Source organism: Homo sapiens, chromosome 5 (genome assembly GCF_000001405.40).
Source record: "Homo sapiens chromosome 5, GRCh38.p14 Primary Assembly".
NCBI classification, from domain to species: Eukaryota; Metazoa; Chordata; class Mammalia; order Primates; family Hominidae; genus Homo; species Homo sapiens.
This window is the reverse complement of record NC_000005.10, coordinates 119,138,701-119,162,826: the sequence shown is the minus strand read 5'-3', so window position 1 is coordinate 119,162,826 and position 24,126 is coordinate 119,138,701. Positions and strand designations below refer to the sequence as shown.

At 36.1% G+C, this 24,126-nt stretch overlaps 1 protein-coding gene, 1 non-coding gene and 1 pseudogene across 27 annotated transcripts in view; all 3 read right to left on the bottom strand.

The window, feature by feature from the left end:
- The window catches only part of DMXL1 (Dmx like 1), a 178,101-nt gene that overhangs the window by 86,301 nt on the left and 67,674 nt on the right, over window positions 1–24,126 (bottom strand). For 25 of the 26 annotated variants that reach the window (NR_170869.1, NR_170867.1, NR_170868.1 and 22 more), the window contains 6 exons: window positions 18,897–18,986; window positions 18,189–18,291; window positions 15,871–15,990; window positions 15,357–15,578; window positions 12,406–14,088; window positions 10,791–10,898 (listed from right to left, as the gene is read on the bottom strand). Coding sequence is in view for 23 of the 26 variants with exons in the window: in XM_011543213.3 (XP_011541515.1) it covers window positions 10,791–10,898; window positions 12,406–14,088; window positions 15,357–15,578; window positions 15,871–15,990; window positions 18,189–18,291; window positions 18,897–18,986 (2,326 nt within the window). In the remaining 3 variants the exon portion in view is untranslated. The remainder of the gene's footprint in view (window positions 1–10,790; window positions 10,899–12,405; window positions 14,089–15,356; window positions 15,579–15,870; window positions 15,991–18,188; window positions 18,292–18,896; window positions 18,987–24,126) is intronic. The other variant, NM_001387938.1, reaches the window with a different exon arrangement.
- Window positions 8,111–8,190, bottom strand: MIR5706 (microRNA 5706). The gene has a single exon (NR_049892.1). It is a non-coding gene; the product is annotated as a microRNA 5706 (primary transcript).
- On the bottom strand, window positions 23,862–23,968 carry RNU6-701P (RNA, U6 small nuclear 701, pseudogene; annotated as a pseudogene).

Here is a 24,126-nt window from a genome sequence, read left to right as displayed (position 1 = left end):
TGTGAATGGACTATTATTCTAAATCAAATTTTTGGATTCCTGTTATCTCTCCAGCAACTTCAATACATTTTCATAAATAATTAAAGAATCTGATTTAGACATCAGTAAGATGGCAGGAATAGAAGTTCCAGGTTTCATTCCTTGCTATGATTTGCATATTTATATCCCTTCAGATTTCATGTTGAAACTTAACCTGCAATGTAACAGCATTAACAGGCAGAGCCTTAAGGAGATAACTAGCCATTGCCCTCGTGAATGGGATTAACATCCTTATAAAAGGGATCAAGAGACATAGGTAGTCCTTTTTACCAGTTCCATCATTTAAGGATGTAGCAAGAAGGTGTCAACTATGGAGCAGAGATCAAGCCCTTACCAGACACCAAATCTGCTGGTGTCTTGATCTTGGACTTCCCAGCCTGCAGAAATATGAAAAATAACTTGTTCCTATTTACAAATTACCCAGTCTAAGATATTTGTTATAGAAGCCCCAAAAGACAGACACCCCTGCACAAAGAGAGTTTAAGTAGCAACTAGCCACAGATTAGAAAATGCCATTTTACCCCCAAACTTGGGAATGAGCTGAGACACCTGCGAGGACCACAGAACCAAACAAAAACTGCAGTAGAAGGGTAAGAGTAACAGTCTCACTTTGAGCACATCACCTGTTCCCATCCCAGCTGATTTGCTTGCGGTACAAGAAGAAAATTCCCTAGATCCACAGTTTGTACAGTGGAAAAAGAAAGCCACGGTCAGACATTGAGCTTCCCCAGTGTTCTAAAATGTTTCCCAGGAAGCTCACGCTGGTCTCACCTCAAGGGAAACAATGTGGGCAATGTCACAGCTAGATCATCTGGTGTTGCGTAGAAACAAAGAAAGGAGGTAGACCTTATAGCAACTAGCCTGCAGACGTTGGTGGTAGCTCTGTGTTCCTGCCAGTGGTAGCATCCAATTAGAGGTAACAGCCAATAGCCTATCCTACCTGCAAAGTCAAGCTGGTTGCTTCCAGAAGCATGGTAAAAAATTCAACCTGGCTTCAGTCCTTAAATGGCCAACCTCCACAACCAGCCTCAGAGCCCACCCCAAAGCCCCGCCCAGACTGGTAGACATCTACCTCAGCATATTTCAGCAAAGCTCAGGGGCTAGACCTGCCCAACCAGAGAGTTCAAACAGTGGCTTGGCTCAGCCTCAAACACCACTCCCAGGTCCTACCCAGGCAGGGAGACACCGATCACTGTGTATTTCCTTAGAAGACAGGCCTGCCCAACCTGGGAGGCCAAACAGGGGCTTGGCCCAGCCCCAGACCTCACACCAAGGTTCCGTTCAGGCAGGAGGGCAAGCTTCAAACACGCATTTCTATAAAACATAGCCTCTGAATCTGTCCATCTGGAGTAACAACTCTGCCTAACCTCGGGGCCAGCCTGCAACCCTGCCCAACTTCAGAACCCAAACGATAATACTGCCTGGCCAGAGAACACATCCTGTAACCCAGCCCAATTAGAGGCTATCGCAGTGCCCAGCCAGCAGGTCTGACTGACTGCAGAGACCAGCCAGTGGTCTTGACAGTGGTCTTGCCAGACAGCAGAACCTAGAGAGCAGCAACATCCAACCTCAGAACCTAAAGGCAGGGGCCTAGCCACCTAGAGAACCCAACTGCAAGCCCTGCCTCCCTGGGGTCATTTCAGGCTGAACCACGCATAATCAGAGGCTAGGTTTAATAGTGAAGCTCTATCTTGGCCAGATAGCTTGCTCAAATGAGCAGACCCCAAAGCAAATACACGAGAATGGTGAAGAATCAGGGAATCATTATATCTCGAAACAAACTAATAAATTTCCAATAATGAACCCAAAGGAAACAGATCTATGAAATGACTGACGAATATTTGGAATAATCCACTTAAAAAGTTCAGTGAACTACCTGAATATATAGAGGAAAATTAAAATAAATTTATTCTTATTTAAATAAATCCTACTCAAATAGAAACCGAAATAGAATAGGGGTAGCTATACTTAGACAAAATAGACTTTAAGTCAAAAACTGTGAAAGGAGACAAAGAAGTATGTTACATAATGATAAAGGGGTCAATTCATCCAGAGGATATTAATAATTATAAATATATATGTACTCAACAACAGAGGCACTTAGACTTCGAAAACAAATATTAAAGAAACTAAAGGGAGAGATAGATTACAATACAGTAATAATAGGGGGATTCAATACCCTACTTGCAACAAAGGACAGACCATCCAGACAGAATGTTTAGTCTCTTAGACCAAATGTACCTAAAAGACATGTACAGAACATTCTACCAAACAGCAAGAGAATACGCATTCTTTTTTGTGCACACAAAGAATATTCCCCAGAATAGATACTGTGTTAGATTACAAAGCAAGTTTTAAAAAATTCAAGTGTATGTAAATCATATGAAGTATCTTTTCTGATCACAATAGTATGAAATGAGAAATAAATAACAGGAGAAATCTTGGAAAAGTCACCAATTTGTGGAAATTAAACAACATGCTCCTGAAAAAACAATGAGTCAAAGAAGAAACCAAAAGAGAAATTAAAAATTATCTTGAGACAAACAAATACAAAAACAGAATATGCTAAAATTTATGGGATGCAGCAAAACCATTTCTAAGAGAGAAAATTACAGCATTCAGTGCCTCCCCCCATATATATATATATATCTCTGTCAAATAAACAACCTACTATTATACATCAAGGAACAAAAATTGGAAGAAACTCAGCCCAAAGTTAGCAGAAGAAAGGAAATGAAAATCAGAGGAGAAATAAATAAAGTATAAACTAGAAAAATGACAGGGGAAAAAAACCTGAACACTTTCCAGTTTTCTGGAAAGATAAATATAATTGACAACTCCTTAGCAAGATTAAGAAAAAGAAAGGCTAGGCGCAGTGGCTCATGCCTGTAATACCAGCACTTTAGAAGACGGAGGCAGGCAGATCACTTGAGACCAGGAGTTCGAGACCAGCCTGGCCAACATGGCAAAACCCTGTTTCTACTAAAAATACAAAAATTAGCTGGGTGTGGTGGAGCAAACCTGTAATCCCAGCTACTTGAGAGATTGAGGCAGGAGAATCGCTTGGACCCACGAGGCACAGGTCGCAGTGAGCTGCGAGGCGCCACGGCACTCCAGCCTGGGCGACAGAGCAAGACTCTATCTCAATAAATAAATAAACCAAAGACTAAAAATAAAATTAGAAGTTAACGAAGAGACACTACAACTGATACCACAAATAATCATAAGAGATTAATATGCAGATATATGCCAACAAATTGGATAACCCAGAAGAAATAGATAACTTCCTAGACACAGACAACCTGCCAGAACTGAAATATGAAAAAATAAAATATCTGAACAGATTGATGATGAGTAAGGACATAAATCAGTAATACAAAGTTTCCCATCAGGCCGGGCATGGCGTCTCACGCCTGTAACCCCAGCATTTTGGGAGGCCAAGGCAGGCAGATTACTTGAGGTCAGAAGTTCCAAACCAGCCTTGCCAACATGGTGAAACTCTGTCTCTACTAAAAATACCCCAGCTACTCAGGAGGCTGAAGTAGGAGAATCACCTGAAACCCGGGGGCAGAAGTTGCAGTGAGCCGAGATTGCACCACTGCACTCCAGCGTTGGGTGACAGAAGCGAGACTCTGTCTCAAAGAAAAAAAAAAAGTCTCCCATCAACCCATCAAAACAAAAGCCTAGAATCTGATCGCATCACCGGTGAATTCTACTAAACATTTAAAGAAAAACTAACACCAATCCTTCTTGAACTCCTCCGAAGAACAGAAAGGAAAGAAAAGTTCCTCTTTTTATGAGACCAGGATTTCCCTTATGCCAATGCCAGGCAAAATGAATTAAAAAAAATTATAGGCCATTATCCCTGATAAATACAAATGTAAAACCCCCCACAAAATACCAGCAAACCAAATTAACAGCACAATAAAAGGATCACCCACTGTGATCAAGTAGGAATTATGCCATGGGTTCAAGATTAGCTCAACATGTGCAAATTAACTGATGTCATTCTGTTCATATTAACAAAATTAAGGACAAAACCATATGATCCTCTCAACTGATGCAAAAAAAGCATCTGATAAAATTCGACATCCTTTCATGACAAAAACTCTCCCAAATTAGGTGTAGAAGGAATGTTCCTCAACACAACAAAGGCCATAAATGACAAGCCCAGAGCTAAACATCATACCCAACAGTGACAATTCAAAAGCTTTTCCTCTAAGATCAGAAAGAGGACAAGGATGCACTCTCTCACAACTTCTACTCAATTATGATAGTACTAGAAGTCCCTGCCAGAGCATTTAGACAAGAGAAAGAAATAAAAAGGCATCCAAATAGGAAATAAAGAAGTGAAAATGTCACTGTTTGCTAACAACACAATCTTACATACAGAAAACACATAAGACTCCACCAAAGAAACAGTTAGAACTAATAAACAACTACATTAAACATGAAGGATACAAAATTAAAATGCAAAAAGCAGTGGCATTTCCATACAGTAACAACAAATTATCTGATCTGATTTTAAAAATAAACAAAACAATCTCATTAATCATTGCTACTTAAAAAAAAAAAAAAAAAACCTTAGAAATATATCGGCCAGGCCGGTGGCTCACATCTGTAATCCTAGCACTTTGGGAGGCCAGGGTGGGAGGATCATTTGAGCTCAGGAGTTTAAGAAAAGCCTGGGCAACACAGCAAGACCCCATCTCATTAAAAACAAAAATTTAACCAAGGAGATAAAAGAGCTCTAAAATAAAAACTATAAAATATTGATGAAAGAAATTTGAAGACACAAATAAATGGTAAGATATCCAGTGTTCACAGATTGGAAAAATTAATTTGTTAAATTTTTAATTTGTTAAAATGTCCAAACTATCCAAAATGATCTACAGATTCAACGCAATCTCTATCAAAATACTGATGTCATTTTTCACAGAAATAGAAGAAAAAAACCCTAAAATTCATTAGGAATACCAAGAAACACCAAATACTCAAAGTAAACTTGAGATGAAAGAACAAACCTAGAGACATCACACTACCTGATTTCAAACTATATTACAAAGCTAGGGTAACCAAAATAGCATGATACTGGTGTAAAAACAGAAACAGACCAATGGAACAGAATAGAAGGCACGGAAATCAACCCATACATTTATACTCAATTGATTTTTGTCAAACGTGCCAGGAACACACAATGGGAAAGGATAGTTTCTTCAAAAAATGGTGCTGGGAAAACTAGATAACCACATGCAGAAGAATGAAATTGGACCATTATCTTACACCATATACAAAAATAGGTCAAAATGGATTAAATACTTAAGCATAAGACCTGCATTGTAAAACTACTAGAGGAAAACACAGAGGGAAAACTACATGTCATCAGTCTGGGCAATGATTTTTTTGGATATCACACCAAAGGGACGGGCAACAAAAGCAAAAATGAACAAATGGGATGACATCAAACTGAAAATGTCTGCATAGCAAAGAATACAATTAGCAGAGTGAAGAGAAAAGCCGTGGATTGGGAAATAATATCTGCAATCTGTATATCTGATAAGGAGTTAATATCCAAAATATATCAAGAACTCAAGTAACCCAATAGCAAGAAAACAACTCAATTAAAAAATAGGCATGCCAGGCACAAGTGGTGCACACCTGTAGACCCAGCTATTTGAGAGGCTGAGGCAGGAGGATGGCTTGAGGCCAGGAGTTTGACTCCAGCCTGGGCAACAGAGTAAGACCCTCAACTCTTGGGGGAAAAAAAAAAAAACCAGAGGGGATAAATGAACTGAACAGATATTTCTCAAATGAAGACATATGAATGTCCAACAGATAAATGAAAAAAGCGCTTGATATCTATAATCATCAGGAAAATGCAAATTAAAGCCATAATGAGATAACAACTCACACCTGCTAGAATGTCTATTATCAGAAAGAGAAAAAAACAAACAGTTTTCATAAAGAAGTGGCGAAAAGGGGAGCCTGGTACACTGCTAATGGGAACATAAATTAGTACAGCCATTATGGAAGAGGGTATGAAGGTTCCTCAAATATCTAAAAATATTCTGGGACAATGTTTTATTAAAAGAGAAGAAAAGAAAAGAAATTTTAACTAAAAAAAAAAAGAAAAAATTTAAAAACAAAATTACCACATGATCCACCAATCCCACTTATGTGTATATAGTCAAAGGATGTGAAATCAGTATGTTGAAGAGATAGCTGCACTCCAATGTTAAGTGAAGTTTTCTTCACAATAGTTTAGTTATCAATTCAACCTAAGTATCCATCAATAAATTAATAAAGAAAATATCGTATATATAGGCAGACCTTGGAGATACCATGGGTTCGATTTCAGACCACCACAATAAAGCAAATATTGCAATAAAATGAGTAACACAATTTTTTGTTTCCCAGTGCATATACAAGCTATGGTTACATCATACTGTGGTCTATTAACTGTGCAATAGCGTTATGTCTAAAATGAGTGTACATACCTTAATTAAAAAATACATCATTGCTAAAACATAACAATCACCTGAGCCTTAAGCAAGTCATAATTTTTGCTGATGGAGAATCTTGCCTTGATGTTACCGGCTGCTGACTGATCAGGGTAGAGGTTACTGAAGGCTGGGATGGCTATAGCAATTTCTTAAAATAAGGCAACAATGAAGTGTGCCACATAGATGGACTCTTCCTTTTATGTAAGATTTCTCTATACCATGTAATTCTATTTGATAGAATTTAGAACTTCTTTCAAAATTGGAGTCAGTCCTCTCAAACCCTGCCAATGCTCTATCAACTAAGTTTACAGACTATTCTAAATCCTTTGTTGTCATTTCAACCATGTTCACTGCATCTTCACCAGGAATAGATTCCACCTTAAGAAACCACATTCATTGCTCATCCTTTAAGAAGCAACTCCTCATCTGCTGAAGTTTTGTTTTTTTTTTTTTTTTTTGAGACAGGGTCTCCTCCTGTTGCCCAGGCTGGAGTGCAGTGGTGTGATCATAGCTCGTTGCAGTCTTGACCTCCTGGACTCAAGTGATATTCCTATTCAGCTCCCTGAATAGCTAGGACTACAGGCACGTAACACTAAACCTACCTAAATTTTTTTCAGAGATGGCGTCTATGTTGCCCAGGCTGATCCTAAACTCCTGGCCTTAAGCGATCCTCCCACCTCAATATCCCAAAGTGTTGAGATTACAGGGATGAGCCATCGTGCCTGGCTCTGCTGAAGTTTTACCCTGAGATTGCAGCAATTCAGTCACATATTCAGGTTCTACTTTTAATTCTAGTTCCCCTGCTATTTCTACCGTATCTGCAATTACTTCCTCTACTGAAGTCTTGAACCTCTCAAAGTCATCTGTGAAGGCTGGAATCAACTTCTTCCAAACTCTTGTTAATGTTGATATTTTGACCTCCTCCCATGAATTACACATGTCCCCAATGGCATCTAGAATGGTGAAGCCTTTCCAGTGGTTTTCAATTTACTTTGTCCAGATCCATCAGAGGAATAATTATCTATAGCAGCTATAGCCTTATGAAATGTATTTCTTAAATGATAAGACTTAAAAGTTGGAGGCATTCTTTGATTCATGGACTGCAAAATGAATGTTGTGTTAGCAGGCATAAAAACTATATTAATCTCCTTGTACACCTGCATCAGAGCTCTTGCGTGAACAGGTCACTGTCAATAACAGCAATATTTCGAAAGGAAATCTTTCTTCTCAACAGAAGGTCTCAATAGTAGGCTGCAAATATTCAGTAAATTATGCTATAAACAGAGGTGCTGCCATTGGGCTTTGCTATTCCATGTGTAGAGCGCAGGCAGAATAGGTTTCACATAATTCTTAAACACTCTAGGATTTTCAGAATGGTAAATGGGCATTGGCTTCAACTTAGTTACCAGCTGCATTAGCCCCTAACAAGAGTCAGTCTGTTCTTTGAAGCCAGGCACTGACTGCTCTCTAACTACGAAAGTCCTAGATGGCATCTTCTTCCAACAGAAGGCTGTTCCATGTACTTTAAAAATCTGTCCTTTTGTGTAGCCACCTTCATCCATTATCTTAGCTAGATCCTCTGGAAAACATGCTGAAGCAAGTGCTGAATGACGTAGAAGCTTCAGCATGTTATCCAGAAGACCTAGCTTCACCTTGTACTTGTAGTTTACGGAGAAAGCTCCTTTCCTTAAACCTCATGGACCAACCTCTGCTAGCTTCAAACTTTAATTGTGCAGCTTCCTCACTTCTCTCAGCTTTCATGAAATTAAGACGAGTTACAGCCTTGTTCTGGATTAGGCTTTGGCATAAGAGAATCTTGTGGCTAGTTCGATCCATCTAGACCACTCAAACTTTCTCCACATAAGCAATAAGGCTACCTTGCTTTCTTATCATTTATGTGTTCAATGGAGAACGTTTAGTTTCCTTTGGACCTTGTCCTTTGCATTTACAATTTGGTAAACTGTTTGGCACAAGAGGCTTAGCTTTCAGCCTATCTCGGCTTTCAACATGCCTTCCTTACTAAGCTTAGTCCTTTCTAGCTTTTGATTTAAAGGGAGAGATATGCAGCTCTTCCTTTCACTTGAACACTTAGAAGACATTGTAGGGTTGTTAAACTGTCCTAATTTCTATATTGTTATGTCTCAGTGAATAGGGAGGTCTGAGCAGAGGGAGAAATACAGGGGAATGGCTGATCAGTGTTGTAGCCACAGTACACACAACATTTATTGATTAAATTCATTGTCCTACATAGGCGCAGTTCATGGCACTCCAAAACCATTATAATAGTAACAAAGATCACTGATCACAGATGACAGAAAAAGTTTGAAATATTGTGAGAATTACCAAAATGAGACACAGAGACATGAAGTGAACACATGCTGTTGGAAAAACGGTGCTGAAAGACTTGCTCAACAAACGGTTGCCACAAAGCTTCAATTTGTAAAAACTGCTGTATTTGCAAAATGCAACCTAGCAGAACACAATAAAAAGGAGTATGCCTGTATATACACTGGAGTACCAGTCAGCCTTAAAAAACGAAATCTTGTCATTTGCAACAACATGGATGAACCTGGAGAACATTACAGTAAGTGAAATAAGCCAGTCATAGACAAATATTGCATGATCTCACTTATCTGTGGAATCGAATACAATTGAAATCAAAGAAACAGAGAATAAACGGTATTTGCCCAAGGCTGGGGACAGGATGAGAAGGGAGACATTGGTCAAAGGGTAAAAAGTTTCAGTTAGGAGGAATACATTTTTGATATCTACTGCACAGCATGGTAGCTACCTTTAATAATAGTGTATTGTATATTTCAATATTGCTAAGAGAGTACATTTCAAATATTCTTACCACAAATATTTTACATATCTGAGGTGATGGATATGTTTAGTTTGACTTAATCATTCCACTTTGTATACATATATCAGAACATTACTTTGTACCCTATAAATACATACAATTTTAATGTGCTAAATTACAATCTAAAAATTTTAAAGAGAATTTGGCCTGGCAAGATGGCTCACGCCCATAATGCCCAGCACTTTGGGAGGCCGAGGCAGGTGGATTGCTTGAGGTCAGGAGTTCAAGACTAGCCTGGCCAATATGGTGAAACCCCATCTCTATTAAAAATACAAAAATTAGCCAGGCGTGGTGGTGTGCGCCTGTAGTCCCAGGTATTCGAGAGGCTGAGGCAGGAGAATCAGTTGAACCCAGGAAATGGAGGTTGCAGTGTGCGGAAATCACACCACTGTACTCCAGCCTGGGTGACAGAGCAAGACTCTATCTCAAAAAAGAAAAAAAAAAAACTAAAAAGAATTTGATTTAGAATTTTCAACTTTACTTTTTTCAAAGCTATATGCAAAATGAGAAAAAGAAAATAGTGAGAGAAACAAAGAGACAGAGACATAAGGTACGAGCAAGAGACTGAGACCAAGGAGCAGAGGCTAAAAGGCTAAACTGCAAAGTCCCAATAACACTTTTTAAACCTATAGTTCCAATAATGCTGAAAGTCAGCTCTATTTCTTGAACTTCCCGGGAGATGAGCCAAAAAACATGCTGTTTTGTTTAAGTGAACTTAAGTGAGATTTCTCTTACTTTGAACTCTCTAAGACAATGTTATTTTCTGGTACCTACAATAATCGTTTAATAAGAATCTATTACGTTATGCTAAGACAGTTCAAAGTCTAAGATAGTTCAAAGTAAGAGAACTAACAGTATCTGAAATACAGCACTAAATATAGAATACATGAAATATACTAAACTAATATCTGAAATACATATTTTATCAGTAGTTTTAAGTGTGGGTAAATTTACACTTTCAATATTCTGTACTCTGTGAAATATTTAAAATTTGAGAATGTATTATAACACAAATGTTATTCAATGTTTGGTGGAAAAACTGAATTTAGATAAATGTCAAAAAAAAGGAGAGAAAAGACAATCTAAAGAAGAAATTAAAGAAAATGAAACAATACTAATTTGCCTTGAACATATCATGCATTTAAAAACATAACACAGAACATCTCCAGTATGTTTCTTCATTAACTCCTTTTGCCTACCATTAAAAATTCCAATGTTTTAAGCAAAGATTATGACAAAATAAACATTTTAACAAATAAAGGAAACTTAAAATATGTTAAATATGTCATCATTATCATTTTTGGGTAAAAACAAGTTTAAAAACTCCCAAGTCTCTCATTTTCTACTCGCTTTATTTCCCTTTAATAGATTACTATCAAAATCACCTTGGTGAAGGAGTTGAGCTCGATAGGCTGGAAGGGAAGTTGTAAGAAAGGTATGGAGTCGAACAGCCAAAAGAAATTTTAACCCACATTCATCAAGAGTTTCTCCACCTGCAATGGGAGAAAGGGGAAGCAATGTATTAAAAAAAAAATTGTAAGCAAAAGAACACCCAATATAGGCATATAACATTCTTAACCTGACCAAGAAAAAAGTTATCAGTGTAAAATATTTTCTAACATTTATCTTTTTCTACAGAATTTTACATTACAGAAAAAATAGTATAAACAATTGGAAAAATAATAAAGAGAATAAAGAGAATCTGATACTCTTTATAAACTGACCTCTTCTGACTGAAATCTTATTTAAATTAAAATGTGACTGATTTTTGAACAGTTTAACCTTTTCTGTGGCACATGTACAGTATTATCTTTAACCAATACAGTTTGTTCGAATCATACATCCACCCCAATAATCTGCTGTTAACACTGGGAGAAACAGTTCTATGGTGGGAGGGCCTGATATTTTTTCCTTGAAGCAAAAACTAAAAACATAAAACACCTATAACATATTCACATCAAAAATAGTATCTACTAGTAATATCTCTAAAAGTGTCAAGATTCATAACCAACTTAATTTTTCTTAAATTTAAATTTTGTTATTATATTAAATTTACCCTATATTTTCCTTTCAAGTTTCATTCAAAGGGATACTGACGTATATATGGTCTACAAGGCTCAATTTGTTCATTTCAGAACTTACTTGAGATTTTATGGCAAACTGTTCATAACTTGGCAGTATTTTTTTTTTAAATGCTCTCTGGGTGAGGAAAAGACCTAATTACATTATGCTTTTCTAGGTAGGAGCATACATTAATGCTAATTTAAAAAAAACTCAATGTTTTAAAAACCAAATTATAATTGTTAATAGTGGATTATTACAAAATGAGGGGAAAAAACCCAGAAACCACATTTTTAGGTACTTAAAATAATTGTTTAATAAGAATCTGTTAAATTTTGCTAAACTCAGAAAGATTCAGTTGGATCTTTTATACTATTGAGCAGAAAATTAGTAAAAATGAACAGCATAACGAGTCTTTGTGCACTCGCTCATAGTACTATGATTTACAGGATAAATAGTGCATATTAAGAGTTTGCTGTTTATGATAGTCTCGGGGGGAAAAAAAGTTAAAACTGTTGTGAAGGTAGCAAAGATGTTTCCAAAAAAAACCTTCATGGTATTTTTTTTTTTAAGAGACAGGGTCTTGCTCTATTGTCCAGGCTGTAGTGCAGTGGCACAATCAGTTCACTGCCAGCTCAACCTCCTGGGCTCAAGCATCATCCCACCTCAGCCTCCTGAGTAGCTAGGACTATAGGCATGAGGCACCATATCTGGCTAATTTTTTTTTGTTTTCATAGAGATGGGGGTCTCAACTATGTTGCCCAGACTGGTCTTAAACTCCTAGGTTCAAGTGATCCTCCTGCCTCAGCCTCCCAAAGAGCTGAATTTACAGGCATAAGCCCCTGTGCCTAGCCAATGGCATCATTTTAATAAAAATTATTTAAAATTATTTTCTGTGAAAGTAAGTAAAAATGTTATCAGTACGGAGTTTAGTTTTACCTTGGCTTCTGTCTCGGCTTTCTCCAATATCAGTGCTTGTAGTTGCAATTGTATCTGCTAAGGCCATCAAAGACATCTGCTCCATCCGGCTGAGTCCTGGTAAACTAGAATGAAGTAAGTGGCCAGAAAGAACCTGAGCATGCTCAGGTCCAAAGTAAGTCGGACTGTACTGTGAAAGGTCAATAACTCTAGGCTTTGTATTTTCTTCATCTGTCTCTAACATATGAGTATCAGTCATTAGAAGTTGAGTCTGAAAAAGCTCATCATAACTTTCTTTAGATAATTGGTTTGATTTACTTAACGTACTCTCATTACTAGATTTCTCCAAAGATGAGTAACAGCTATCATCATCTGCTGCAAGTAAGGCATATAAAGGAAGTGGAGGAACAGAATCTATTTCTGTGTAATCTGTATTTTCAGCCTTGTTGAATGCCTGGGGGTCTCTGGTAGTGCTTCCACTAGCACTGATTGTGAGAGACCTAAGGCGGCGTTCATGATTAGATTCAGCTTCATTCAGAGCCACAACTTCCCCAGCAATGCACTTAACAAGATGGGACAAGATGGCCTTGGCTCTCCGAACTTTACCAAGATCCATGAGTTCCAAAAGCTGCAAGGGATGATACTGAGGTAGAGTCGGGGAAAGTACATGAGCTGCTTCAAAAAGACCTGAATCTTCCATATCCACTGAAGGATCGAATGCAGTTTTCTTTCCACAGATTTTCTGTGCAAGACTGGTCATGGATCGAGTCAGAGTTTTCTTTGGAGGATGTAACCCAGAACTGGAGTTACTCTGTTTTATTAAACTTGTTATAGATGGAGTGCTCCCACTGTACGAATCTGTTATAACAGGTTCTTGTTTAGAAGATGGTTGCCATTGGCAATACACATGCATTTCACAGTCCATTCCTACCACAAGGATGCCATCCCGGACCCACGATAAAGAAACAGGAAAAGGTGGGGAGCCATCTACAGAAGAAACTAGGTCCACACTTCGTAATAGTACAAATTTAGAAAGGGGCACAACTTTGGTACTCTCCCAGAGAGGAAATGCCAGGGTTTCCTTACCAGTTTGGTCTTGTACCTTGCCAGCCAGGGGTCCATACATAAAAAGTTTTGATCCAATTCCTACAGTCAGGATATGAGAACCGTCTTCTCTAGACATCCAATCTAAGTGAACTAAATGCTTTGTGTTTGATGTGATATTCTCTTTACTAGATAAATACATGTCTTGTTTATTATAGGCCACTAAATTGCTATCAACACTAATGCCAGAATCCAATACTGTGCTTAACTCATCTAAATGAATTGTCTGCTCAAGGACCCAACATGAACCTCCTGTTGACTCACATTCAAAAATACTTACATGCATCACAAAGTCCTGGGAAGATCTACTATTAGATGCAGGCTGCTTATAAGCTACTGCTAAACGATTTGTATGTGCACAGCTAACTTCTACAGGCCTACCAGGTACAGTTATACTACTATTGCTCTGAAGTCCATCTTCAATAAGTAATGGCCATTCTTCCCAAATGTATGCAAGATCAATTTTTCCATTCTTTGACGTGGCAGATTCTCCATCTGTTACTCTGCATCTCCAGAATCTTACTTTCTCATCTGAACATGAAGTTGCCAATAAATAAGGAGCACTGCATGCAGGATATATAGAAGATGAACTCAGATGTCCTAAAATAAAAATAATCCGTTAACAAAATGTCAAATTTGGTTAAATACTTCTGTTTTTATGTACTTACGATTTTAGTCTTTTGTATTAACTACTATAAATATGAACAAAATCAAAGGGGCATCTTGGCTGTATGTTTTTTAAACTGCATAATAGACAGCCTATATTTATTTAAGTTAAAAAGGGGCAGCAAGAATAGTAAGAAAGAGGCTTTTAATGACATCAGAAAGGTATATAAAAAGAAAGTATCACCAAAACCTAGAGTTGAAAGGGAACTCTGAGATAATTTACTTCAATTCTTGAAGGTTAAACATCTTGGGCCTAAATCAAACAACTTAGGCATAGGCAGAATTTAATTCTAGTTAATCCCGAATTTGTTTCACAGCTCTTTGCTAGTTTTATACATTATAAATCTAATTTTAAAGGTATCAATGCATTTTTTTAAATTTGTCAACACTCACTGGCTCCTTCTCTTTCACATTTTTCAATATAAATGTGAATGGCCTATGTTTACTTAAGTACTGAATGGTCACTTTACAGGGCCCTTCATGATTGAGGTATATTTGCCATAACAAATGCTGAGAAGATTCCTAACTACAACTTAACATTTGCTTAGACTTAAAGTAATCATGCACTATTAGTTTCCTAAAACATAAGCCTTAATTTGTATTTTTGATTAGTATTCTTGATACTCCAGAACAGTGGTTCTTGACCTTTTGCAAGCATAAGAATCACTTTAAAGGTTTGTAAGTCCAGGCCACTGGGCCCCATCCCAGAGTCTGAGATTCAGTAACCCTGGGTGGCCCAAGAAATGGAGTGGCCAATTTCTAACAAGTTTCCAGGACGCTGATGCTGCTGGCCTGGGGACACTTTGAAAACCACTGCTCTGGAATAAGGATAATAAATATATAGCAGAAACCACACAATCAGAATCATGGCTCCAGGCAGCTATTGCCAATACCATCAAAGTCTGCAAATAAAGTACAACTTAGTTACCATCTCCGCTCCAGAAACTGTCCCTTTGTCTTCCCAAAAAGACAAAGAAAATTTGTTTTAGAAATCAATATTTAAGACTAGAACTGGCTGATAAATGTCAGAGTAATCTGAAAACATAATGAGAACTATAAGTCTTCAATTTAGGGTACTTGAATATATTATTTCCATTTCTAGTTCTGTGTGGATTTAAGAGATAGTTGCAGCACCTATTTTTAAATACCTGGTAAATACTCATGTGTTACAAAATTAGTCTCTTTTCATAAAATTTACAAACCTGCTGATGGCTTAATACTTATTATCTCAACTCCTTCTGGTAAATGCAATTCTTGGCTATAAACCATTTCTGAAAACAGAGTCAACCTGCTGGTACTCTGGAGATTTGCTCTGCAAGCCTGATACTTTTGTGAAAAAGGAGATAGGATCTTCTCTGGAGAAGAAGAATAATGTTCTTCTGGCTGCCAAACCGCTTCGGATAATTTTGTATCTACTTTTTCATCTACAAAACATAAGAAAAGAACCAAAAACTGAGGCAGGGGAACCCTATAAATATTACGATTGTTACATTTTACAATCCAAAACTGCCTTGTAAAAGATAAAATAGTAAACATATTAATATGATTCTTCACAGAAAGAAAATAAGAAAAGCTTTTTGAATTAATTGAATAATCTACAGTTATCACCATTTAATGAGAATGGCTTTAAGAAATATGTCCCAAATTATCTAATTTTGTGTAATTTGTTAACTTACACCTATTAAAGTTGCACAAACACACACACAAAAGACTCACCTAATGAGACAGGAATTGACTTTAGATGTAAATTCCACATGTGTAACAGTGAACGGTTGTCTTGAGTGCATTCTATTACAATTAGGTAGAACTTCTCAGAAAATCCATTAGGTGAGCTGCCTGTTGGTATTAATGATATTTTTCACTGTTACTATGTGTAAAAGAGACAACTTGCTAAACATGCCAAGTTAAAATAATTGGACTTTAAAAAAAGAAGATTAAAAACTTTTACCTAAGGCTTCAAACACAAGTGGTATTATAAAATATATTCAAATCCTTTACCACATGAATTTGTATTAACTTAAAATTTTTACAATAATATGTATGCTATTTCATGTTTGAATTGATAGGTTTACAGTCATCATCATCAAATTGTTCACAAAGATTAAACCATAAGAAGTAGGAAATTTCTAAACAGATAGGAACTATGTAATATGTACTTCAACTCAACATATCATGATGAAATGGTGGTGCCAAACATTTTTCAAATGAATAAGTTCTATAATGGATGACTTCATGATATTTATCCAATGGCCAAACCATAAGTTTTCATTATAAAACATATCATTCAAGAAAATTTGTCTTCTCCCAAATTGCATAAACAGCACACGAGTTGCTCAAAATAAACATATCTTTTTAAAATACATCAGAAAAATCAATGATTTATTATTGCCTGAAAAACCTTTTTAACAATAGATTTTAATCCAAGTTTTCTTCATTATAATCTATTATTCACTATGTGCACAATTAGGTAAACGAAAATTACATTATAAAAACAAAATAAATCGTAGAACATGTAAAACATGAGAAAGCAGGTATTATTAGAGCACAAAGACTTTGCCCTTTTATAAATTTGCATAGCAAAAAAATTAAAAAAGGTAACCATAAATGTTTTAAATCATCTTGTATTGAGAGACTAAATGAAAAGGTAACTTTGGTAATGTATTCTAAGTTAGGCATCCAAAATACAGAAATTAAGAGAAAAGGATAAAGATTATAACAAAAGTAAACAGAATAGAAATCAATCCTAGTTTTGATAATTTCACTAACAACAAAAAATGCTCCAATAATGAAAATATTTGTAAAACATTTTTCTTCTTCATAATAGAGCAAAAGATATGAAACCATTAACTCCTTAGGTATTTTCTAGGAAACTCTAATAATGAACATAATAGTTTTTGGGTAAAAGTAAAAATTTCCTGAATATTTTAAGAAAAATCTTAGCCTTAAAGAGAATTAAAATACATTAAAAATTGAAGAATCCGAAAAAAGCAAATGCTAGAATACAAGAAGAACACAGAAAAACTCAACCTTATTATGCAAAGGAGAGTAACTTCTTTTAAAAGTTTTAAAGAGACTTAAATTGTTAACAATATTAACATGTTCATTAATATTTTAATATGAAAAGGATAGTTTTGTTTATACAATAAATAATCTTATCTCTTACGCCTGATATCTTTAATCCCCATTTTTAGCATACTTCCAACATGTTCAGAGTTTTAAAAAACACATAAAGTGTATTTGCACAGCTCATTAACTCAGAGAAAACTGATAGAAGACTAAAAGCAATGGTAAGAAATTAGATGTCAACATAAAAGTGCAGAACTCTAAGGAGTACTTCTCATAAAAGAAAAATGGAAAAGGTGGCAGAAAGACATGATGTAAAAGAGAAGAAAAAAGTCTGAACAAATGGAGAAGATATTTAACATATGAATCTTGATAACTTCTTTGTGCAACAGGCACATACTGTATAATTGATTTATAAGATTGTGATATTCAAGAATGCCATTTTTGAGTTTGGTTTGGCTCTGTAATCGCAAGTGATGACCAAGAGACTGTAGCTTTATTTTACTCAGTGTGCCTTCATGTAAAGTGTTGATGAGAGGAGTTTAACATTTTAAAAACTTTTATTATAAAAGCATTAATTAAGACAATTAGTTTTTAAATTAAGGACCTTCTAGCTTGAAGTTTTAAGCTACTTCTTTAAATTATAAATTTTCAAAAGGCAGGAGGTCCATAATATCCAAATGGATGGGTAGGACCCCATCCATGCAAAAAGCTCTCATATGTTAATAATAAAGCATTTCTATTATGCAGTTTAAAAAACATACAACCAAGATGCCCCTTTAATTTTGTTCGTATTTATTACCTGGTTAAGAATAAAAAGATACTCATATTTATGATAAATATTTAATAAACAAACCTACCCCAATTTTTACTTCAAATAGACAATGTAAAGCATTTTACCAATTCATCTTTATTAACTGCCTAACATACTGTACATAGTATTTCTCATTCCATAAATAATTCTTCCTTACCTGCATTAGATAAAATGCTGTCTTTGCCAAGGCTTTTCTTCTCAAGGTTATTCAAAATGAAGTCTTCTTCAAAAACATGAAGCAGTTGGGTTTTTCTGCCATGCTGAATATAAATAAATATCAACGTAAGTTGACCTATGTGTTATTTACCTAATGCTAAATAGCCAGAAAAATAATACTTCATAATGAGATATTTAAAGGCAGAATAAGAAGTCAAAAGTTCAGCAGAACGTAAGCGTATGGCACCTCCATTAGATTAAACAGATGAATATAAAAATTTAGGTCAAGATGATTTGCTTTCATTACAATGAGTCTTTATAAGTAAGAAATAATATCCACCAATGTTTTTTATTTAGCCACAAATTGGAACCTAGTTTTCTTTTCAGTGATTTTCAATAACCATGGATGAGGAACCTAACACCACTTTATTAAATCTAATGGTAATATGATAATATTTCTAATATGTTTGAGTCAAAGTTTGAAAATTTATTTGGCTGTGAATATAGTAATGAGGATAATTTGTTTTCTAGTTTGAAGTCTAGGAAGTAAAATATACAATAATATGTTATCTATTATGTGATGAGTTAATTACTGAATCTACCTGTAAATATATAGCAAATTTTCAAATTACATTAATATATAGATTTTATGCAAAATGCTTTCATAAACTTTTTTTTAATATACCTCCCCCCCAAAATTAATACTTACAAGTTTGGTAATGGGATCTAATGCAATAATGCATCCTGGCCTGGCTGTTGATTGTTGACTGACGATGTTAAAGACTTCACCAACATATTTCTGTTTTTTTTAAAAAAATTTATAATTTACTAAACAATTCATATGCAAATAAGAGTAAATAACAAAATTTCAAGCATAACAGATAAATAACAATAAAATTCAAGTGGGCCTAAATATAGTCCCTTTCAACTATAAAAATTCTAGGTCTTTAGTCTTTATAGGAATTAACAAACGAATGAAAAAGCATTACAGCTCAGTTGGTACAGAGAAAAATAAAAGTAATGCTTGATAACTGTTAAGGAAAAAAATTACATCCATAAATGTGAAAAATTGATTTCAATCTCCTAGAAATGTTCTAATAATTAGTGCTTTTTAAACATTAATTTTGAGATAGGAAGGATAGAGCTAAAGAAACAAGATTACATACTATTCAAATATGCTGATCTCTTGAGCCATTCATGTCCTGACTGCTTTAGTCAAGGTCACACTGCTAAATTCAGTGGTCTATTTTCAAATCTTTATCAGACTTCCTTTATCAGCAGTATCTGATCTTGGTAATCATTCCTTCTTCCTCCTTGAAATATTTTTTTTCTTTTGCCTTCCATTATACACCACATTCACCCTTGTATTTCCACCCTACTTTTAACCGAGCATTCCAGCATTCAATCTTTAATTTTTTTTAACTTTCATTGTAGGTTTGGGAGTACGTGTGCTAAACTCATGTCACAGGGCTTTGTTGTACAGATTATTTCATCATCCAGGTACTAAGCCCAGTACCCGAGAGTTATTTTTTCTGGTCCTCTCCCTCCTCCCAACTTCCAACATGAAGAAGTCCCCAGTGTCTGTTTTTCCATTCTTTGGGTTCATGAGTTCTCATTATTTAGCTCCCACTTGTAAGTGAGAACATGCAGTATCTGGTTTTCTATTCCTGTTAGTTTGCTAAGGATAATGGCCTCCTTAAAGAATGGCCTCCATAAAGAAGTTGCTTTATGAATGCCAGCTCCACCCATGTTCCTGCAAATTACATCATTTCATTCTTTTTTATGGCTGCACAGTATTCCATCATGTGTATGTACCACATTTTCTTAATCCAATCTGTCACTCATGGGCATTTGGGTTGATTCTATGTCTTTGCTATTGTGAATAATGCTGCAATGAACATTTGCCTGCATGTGCCCTTACCACAGAATGATTTATACTCCTCTAGGTACATAGCCAGTAATGGGATTGCTGGGTCAAAAGGCAGTTTTGTTTTTAGCTCTTTGAGGAATCACAGTACTGCTTTCCACAACGGTTGAATTAATTTACACTCCCATCAACACTGTGTAAGTGTTCCCTTTTCACTGCAACCTCATCAGCATCTTTTTTTTTTTTTTTTTTTTTACTTTTTAATAATAGCCATTCTGACTGGTGTGAGATGGTGCCACATTGCGGTTTTTATCTGCATTTCTCTAATGATCAGTGATTGAGCTTTTTATCATGTTTGTTGCCACACGTATGTCTTCTTTTGAAAAGTGCTCATGTCCTTTACTCACTTTTTGATGGAGCTGTTTTTCTCTTGTAAATTTAAGTTCCTTACAGATGTTGGATATTCAGACCTTTCTCAGATGCATAGTTTGCAAATATTTTCTCCTATTCTGTAGGTTGTCTATTTACTCTGTTATGATTGCTTTTGATGTCTTTGTCATGAAATCACTGCCCATTCCTATGTCCAGAATGGTATCGCCTAGATTGTCTTCCAGGGTTTTTAGAGTTTTAGGTTTTACATTTAAGTCTTTAATCCATTTTGAGTTGATTTCTGTATATGATGTAAGGAAGGGATCCAGTTTCAATTTTCTACATATGGCTAGCCAATTCTGCCAGCATCATTTATTAATGGAATCCTTTCCCCATTGCTTGTTTTTGTCAGGTTTGTCAAAGATCAGACAGTTGTAGGTGTGTGGTCTTATATCTGGATTCTCTATTGTGTTCCATTGGTCAATGTGCCTGTTTTTGTACCACTACTATGCTGTTTTGGCTACTGTATCCCTGCAGTATAGTTTGAAGTCGGGTAACATGATACCTCAAAGCTCTGTTCTTTTTTTTACGATTGCCTTGGCTACACAGCCTCTTATTTTGGTTCCATATGACTTTTAAAATAGGTTTCTCTAGTTCTGTGAACAATGTTGTTGGTAGTTTGATAGGAATAGCATTGAATCTGTAAATTTTTGGGCCATACTTTGGGCAGTATGGTCATTTTAATGATATTGATTCTTTCTATCCATCAACATAGGATGTTTTTCCCATGTGTTTGTGTCTTCTCTGATTTATCTGAGCAATGTTTTGTAATTCTCATTGTAGAGATCTTCCACCCCCCTGGATAGCTGTATTCCTAGGTATTTTATTCTTTTTGTGGCAGTTGGGAATGGGACTGTCTTCCTGAATTGGTTCTCAGATTAGCTGTTGTTGGTGTATAGGAATGCTAGTCATTTCTTCTACATTAATTTTTGTATCCTGAAACTTTACTGAAGCTGTTTATCAGATCTAGGAGCTTTTGGGCCAAGACATAGGGTTATCTAGATATAGAAACATGTCATGTACAAACAGTGATAGTTTTACTTCCTCTCTTCCTATTTAGATGCCTTTTATTCCTCTTTCCTGATTGCTGTGGCCAGCACTTCCAATAATATGCTGAATAGGAGTGGCAAGACAGGGCATCCTTTCCTTGTGTCAGTTTTCAGGGGGAATGCTTCCAGCTTTTGCCCATTCAGTATGATGTTGGCTGAGAGTCTGTCAAAGATAGCTCTTATTATTCTGAGGTATGTTCCTTCAACACCTAGTTTATTGAGAGTTTTTAACATGAAGGAATGTTGAATTTTATCAAAAACCTTTTCTGCATCTATCAAAAAAATTATGTGTTTTTTGTCTTCAGTTCTCCTTATGTGATAAATCACATTTAATTTTCATATGTTGAACAAAACTTGCATCCCGGGAATTAAGCCTACTTGATCACTGTGAACTAGCTTTTTAATGTGCTGCTGGATTTGGCTTGCCAGTATTTTGTCAAGGATTTTTGCATTGATATTCATAGAGGATATTGGGCTAAAGTTTTCTTTTTGTGTGTGTGTGTCTGCCAGGTTTTGGTATCAGGATAATGCTGGCCTCAAAAAATTAGTTGGGGAGGAGTCCCTCCTCCTCAATTTTTTGGAATAGTTTCAGTAGGAATGGTACCAGCTCTTCTTTGTGCATCTGGTGTAATTCAGCTATGAATCCCTCAGATCCTGGGTTTTTCGGTTGGTAGGCTATTTATTACTGACTCAATTTCGGAGCTCGTATTAGTCTGTTTAGGGAATCAATTTCTTCCTGGTTCAGTCTTAGGAGGGGGTATATGTCCAGGAATTTATCCATCCCTTGTAGGTTTTGTAGTCTGTGTGCACAGAGGTGTTCGTAGTAGTTTCTGATTATTGTTTTTATTTCTGTAGAGTCAGTGGTTAACATTCCCTTGGTAATTTCTAATTGGGTTTATTTGGATTTTCTATTGGCTTAGTTAGCAACGTACTTATCTTATTAATCTTTTCAAACAGCCATTTCCTGGAATTGCTGATCTTTTGAATGGTATTTTGTGTTTCGATTTCCTTCAGTTCATCTCTGATTTTGATTATTGCTTATCTTCTGCTAGCTTTGGGGTTGATTTGTTTTTCCTTCTCTAGTTCTTTCAGTAGTGATGTTAGGTTATTAGTTTGAGATCTTTCTGACTTTTTGATGTGGGCATTTAGTACTATAAATTTCCATCTTAACACTGCCTTAGTTGTGTCCCAGAGATTCTGGCATGTTATATCTTTATTCCCATTACTTTCAGAGAACTTCTTGGTTTCTGTCTTAATTTCACTATTTACCCAAAAGTCATTCAGGAGCATGTTTTTAATATCCATGTAATTGACTGGTTTAAGCTATTTTTTAAATCCTGACTTCTATTTTTATTGCACTGTGGTCCAACAGTGTGTTTGGTATGATTTTGGTTCTTCTGCATTTGCTGAGGATTGTTTTATGTCCAATTATGTGGTCCAATTTAGAGTATGTGACGTGGCAATGAGAGGAATATATATTCTGTTGTTTTGGGTGGAGAGTTCTGCAGCAGTCTGTCAGATACATTTGGTCCAATGTTGAGTTCAGGTCCGGAATATCTCTGTTACTCTTCTGCCTCGATGAGCTGTCTAATACTGACATTGAAGTGTTGAAGGCTCCCACTATTATTGTGTGGGAGTCTATGTCTCTTTGTAGGTTTCTAAGAAGTTGTTTTATGAATCTGGGTGCTCCTGTGTTGGTTGCATATATATTTACCATAGTTAGGTCTTCTTGTTGAATTGAACCCTTTACCATTGTGTAATGCCCTTCTTTGTCTTTTTCTAATCTTTGTTGGTTCAGAGTCTGCTTTGTCTGAAATCAGGATGGCAACCCGGCTTCTTTCTGATTTCCATTTACTTGGTAGATTTTTCTCCATCCCTTTATTTTGAGCCTATGGGTGTCATTACATGTGAGAGGGGTCTCTTGAAGACCACATACCATTGTTTTTTTAAATCCAGTGTGCCACTCTATACCTTTTACGTGGGGCATTAAGCCTGTTTACATTCAAGGTTAGCACTGACATGTGTGGATCTGATTGTGTTATTATGTTGTTAGCTGGTTACTATGCTGGCTTGTGTGGTTGCTTTATAGTGTTACTGGTCTGTGTATATTTAAGTGTGTTTTTATATTAGGTGGTAGTGATCTTTCCATTCAATATTTACTACTCCCTTCAAGACCTCTTGTAAGGCAAACTCCCTCAACATTGGTTTATCTAAAAAGGATCTTATTTCTTCTTCACTTCGGAAGCTTAGTTTGACTAGATATGAAATTCTTGGTTGAAGACTTTTTTTTCTTTAAGGATGTTGAATATAGGTCCCCAGTCTCTTCTGGAGAAATATGGAACACTTCATGAATTTGCATGTCATCCTTGCACAGGAGCCATGCTCATCTTCTCAGTATTATTCCAATTTCAGTTTATGTGCTGCTGAAGTGAGCACACATTCAATCTATTACTTCTTAAGATGGTGTCTCTCTCTGTCACCCAAGGCTGGAGTGCAGTCGTGTCATCTTGGCTCACTGCAACCTCTGCCTCCCAGTTTCAAGTGATTCTCCTGCCTCAGCCTCCCAGGTAGCTGAGACTACAGGTTCCTGCCAC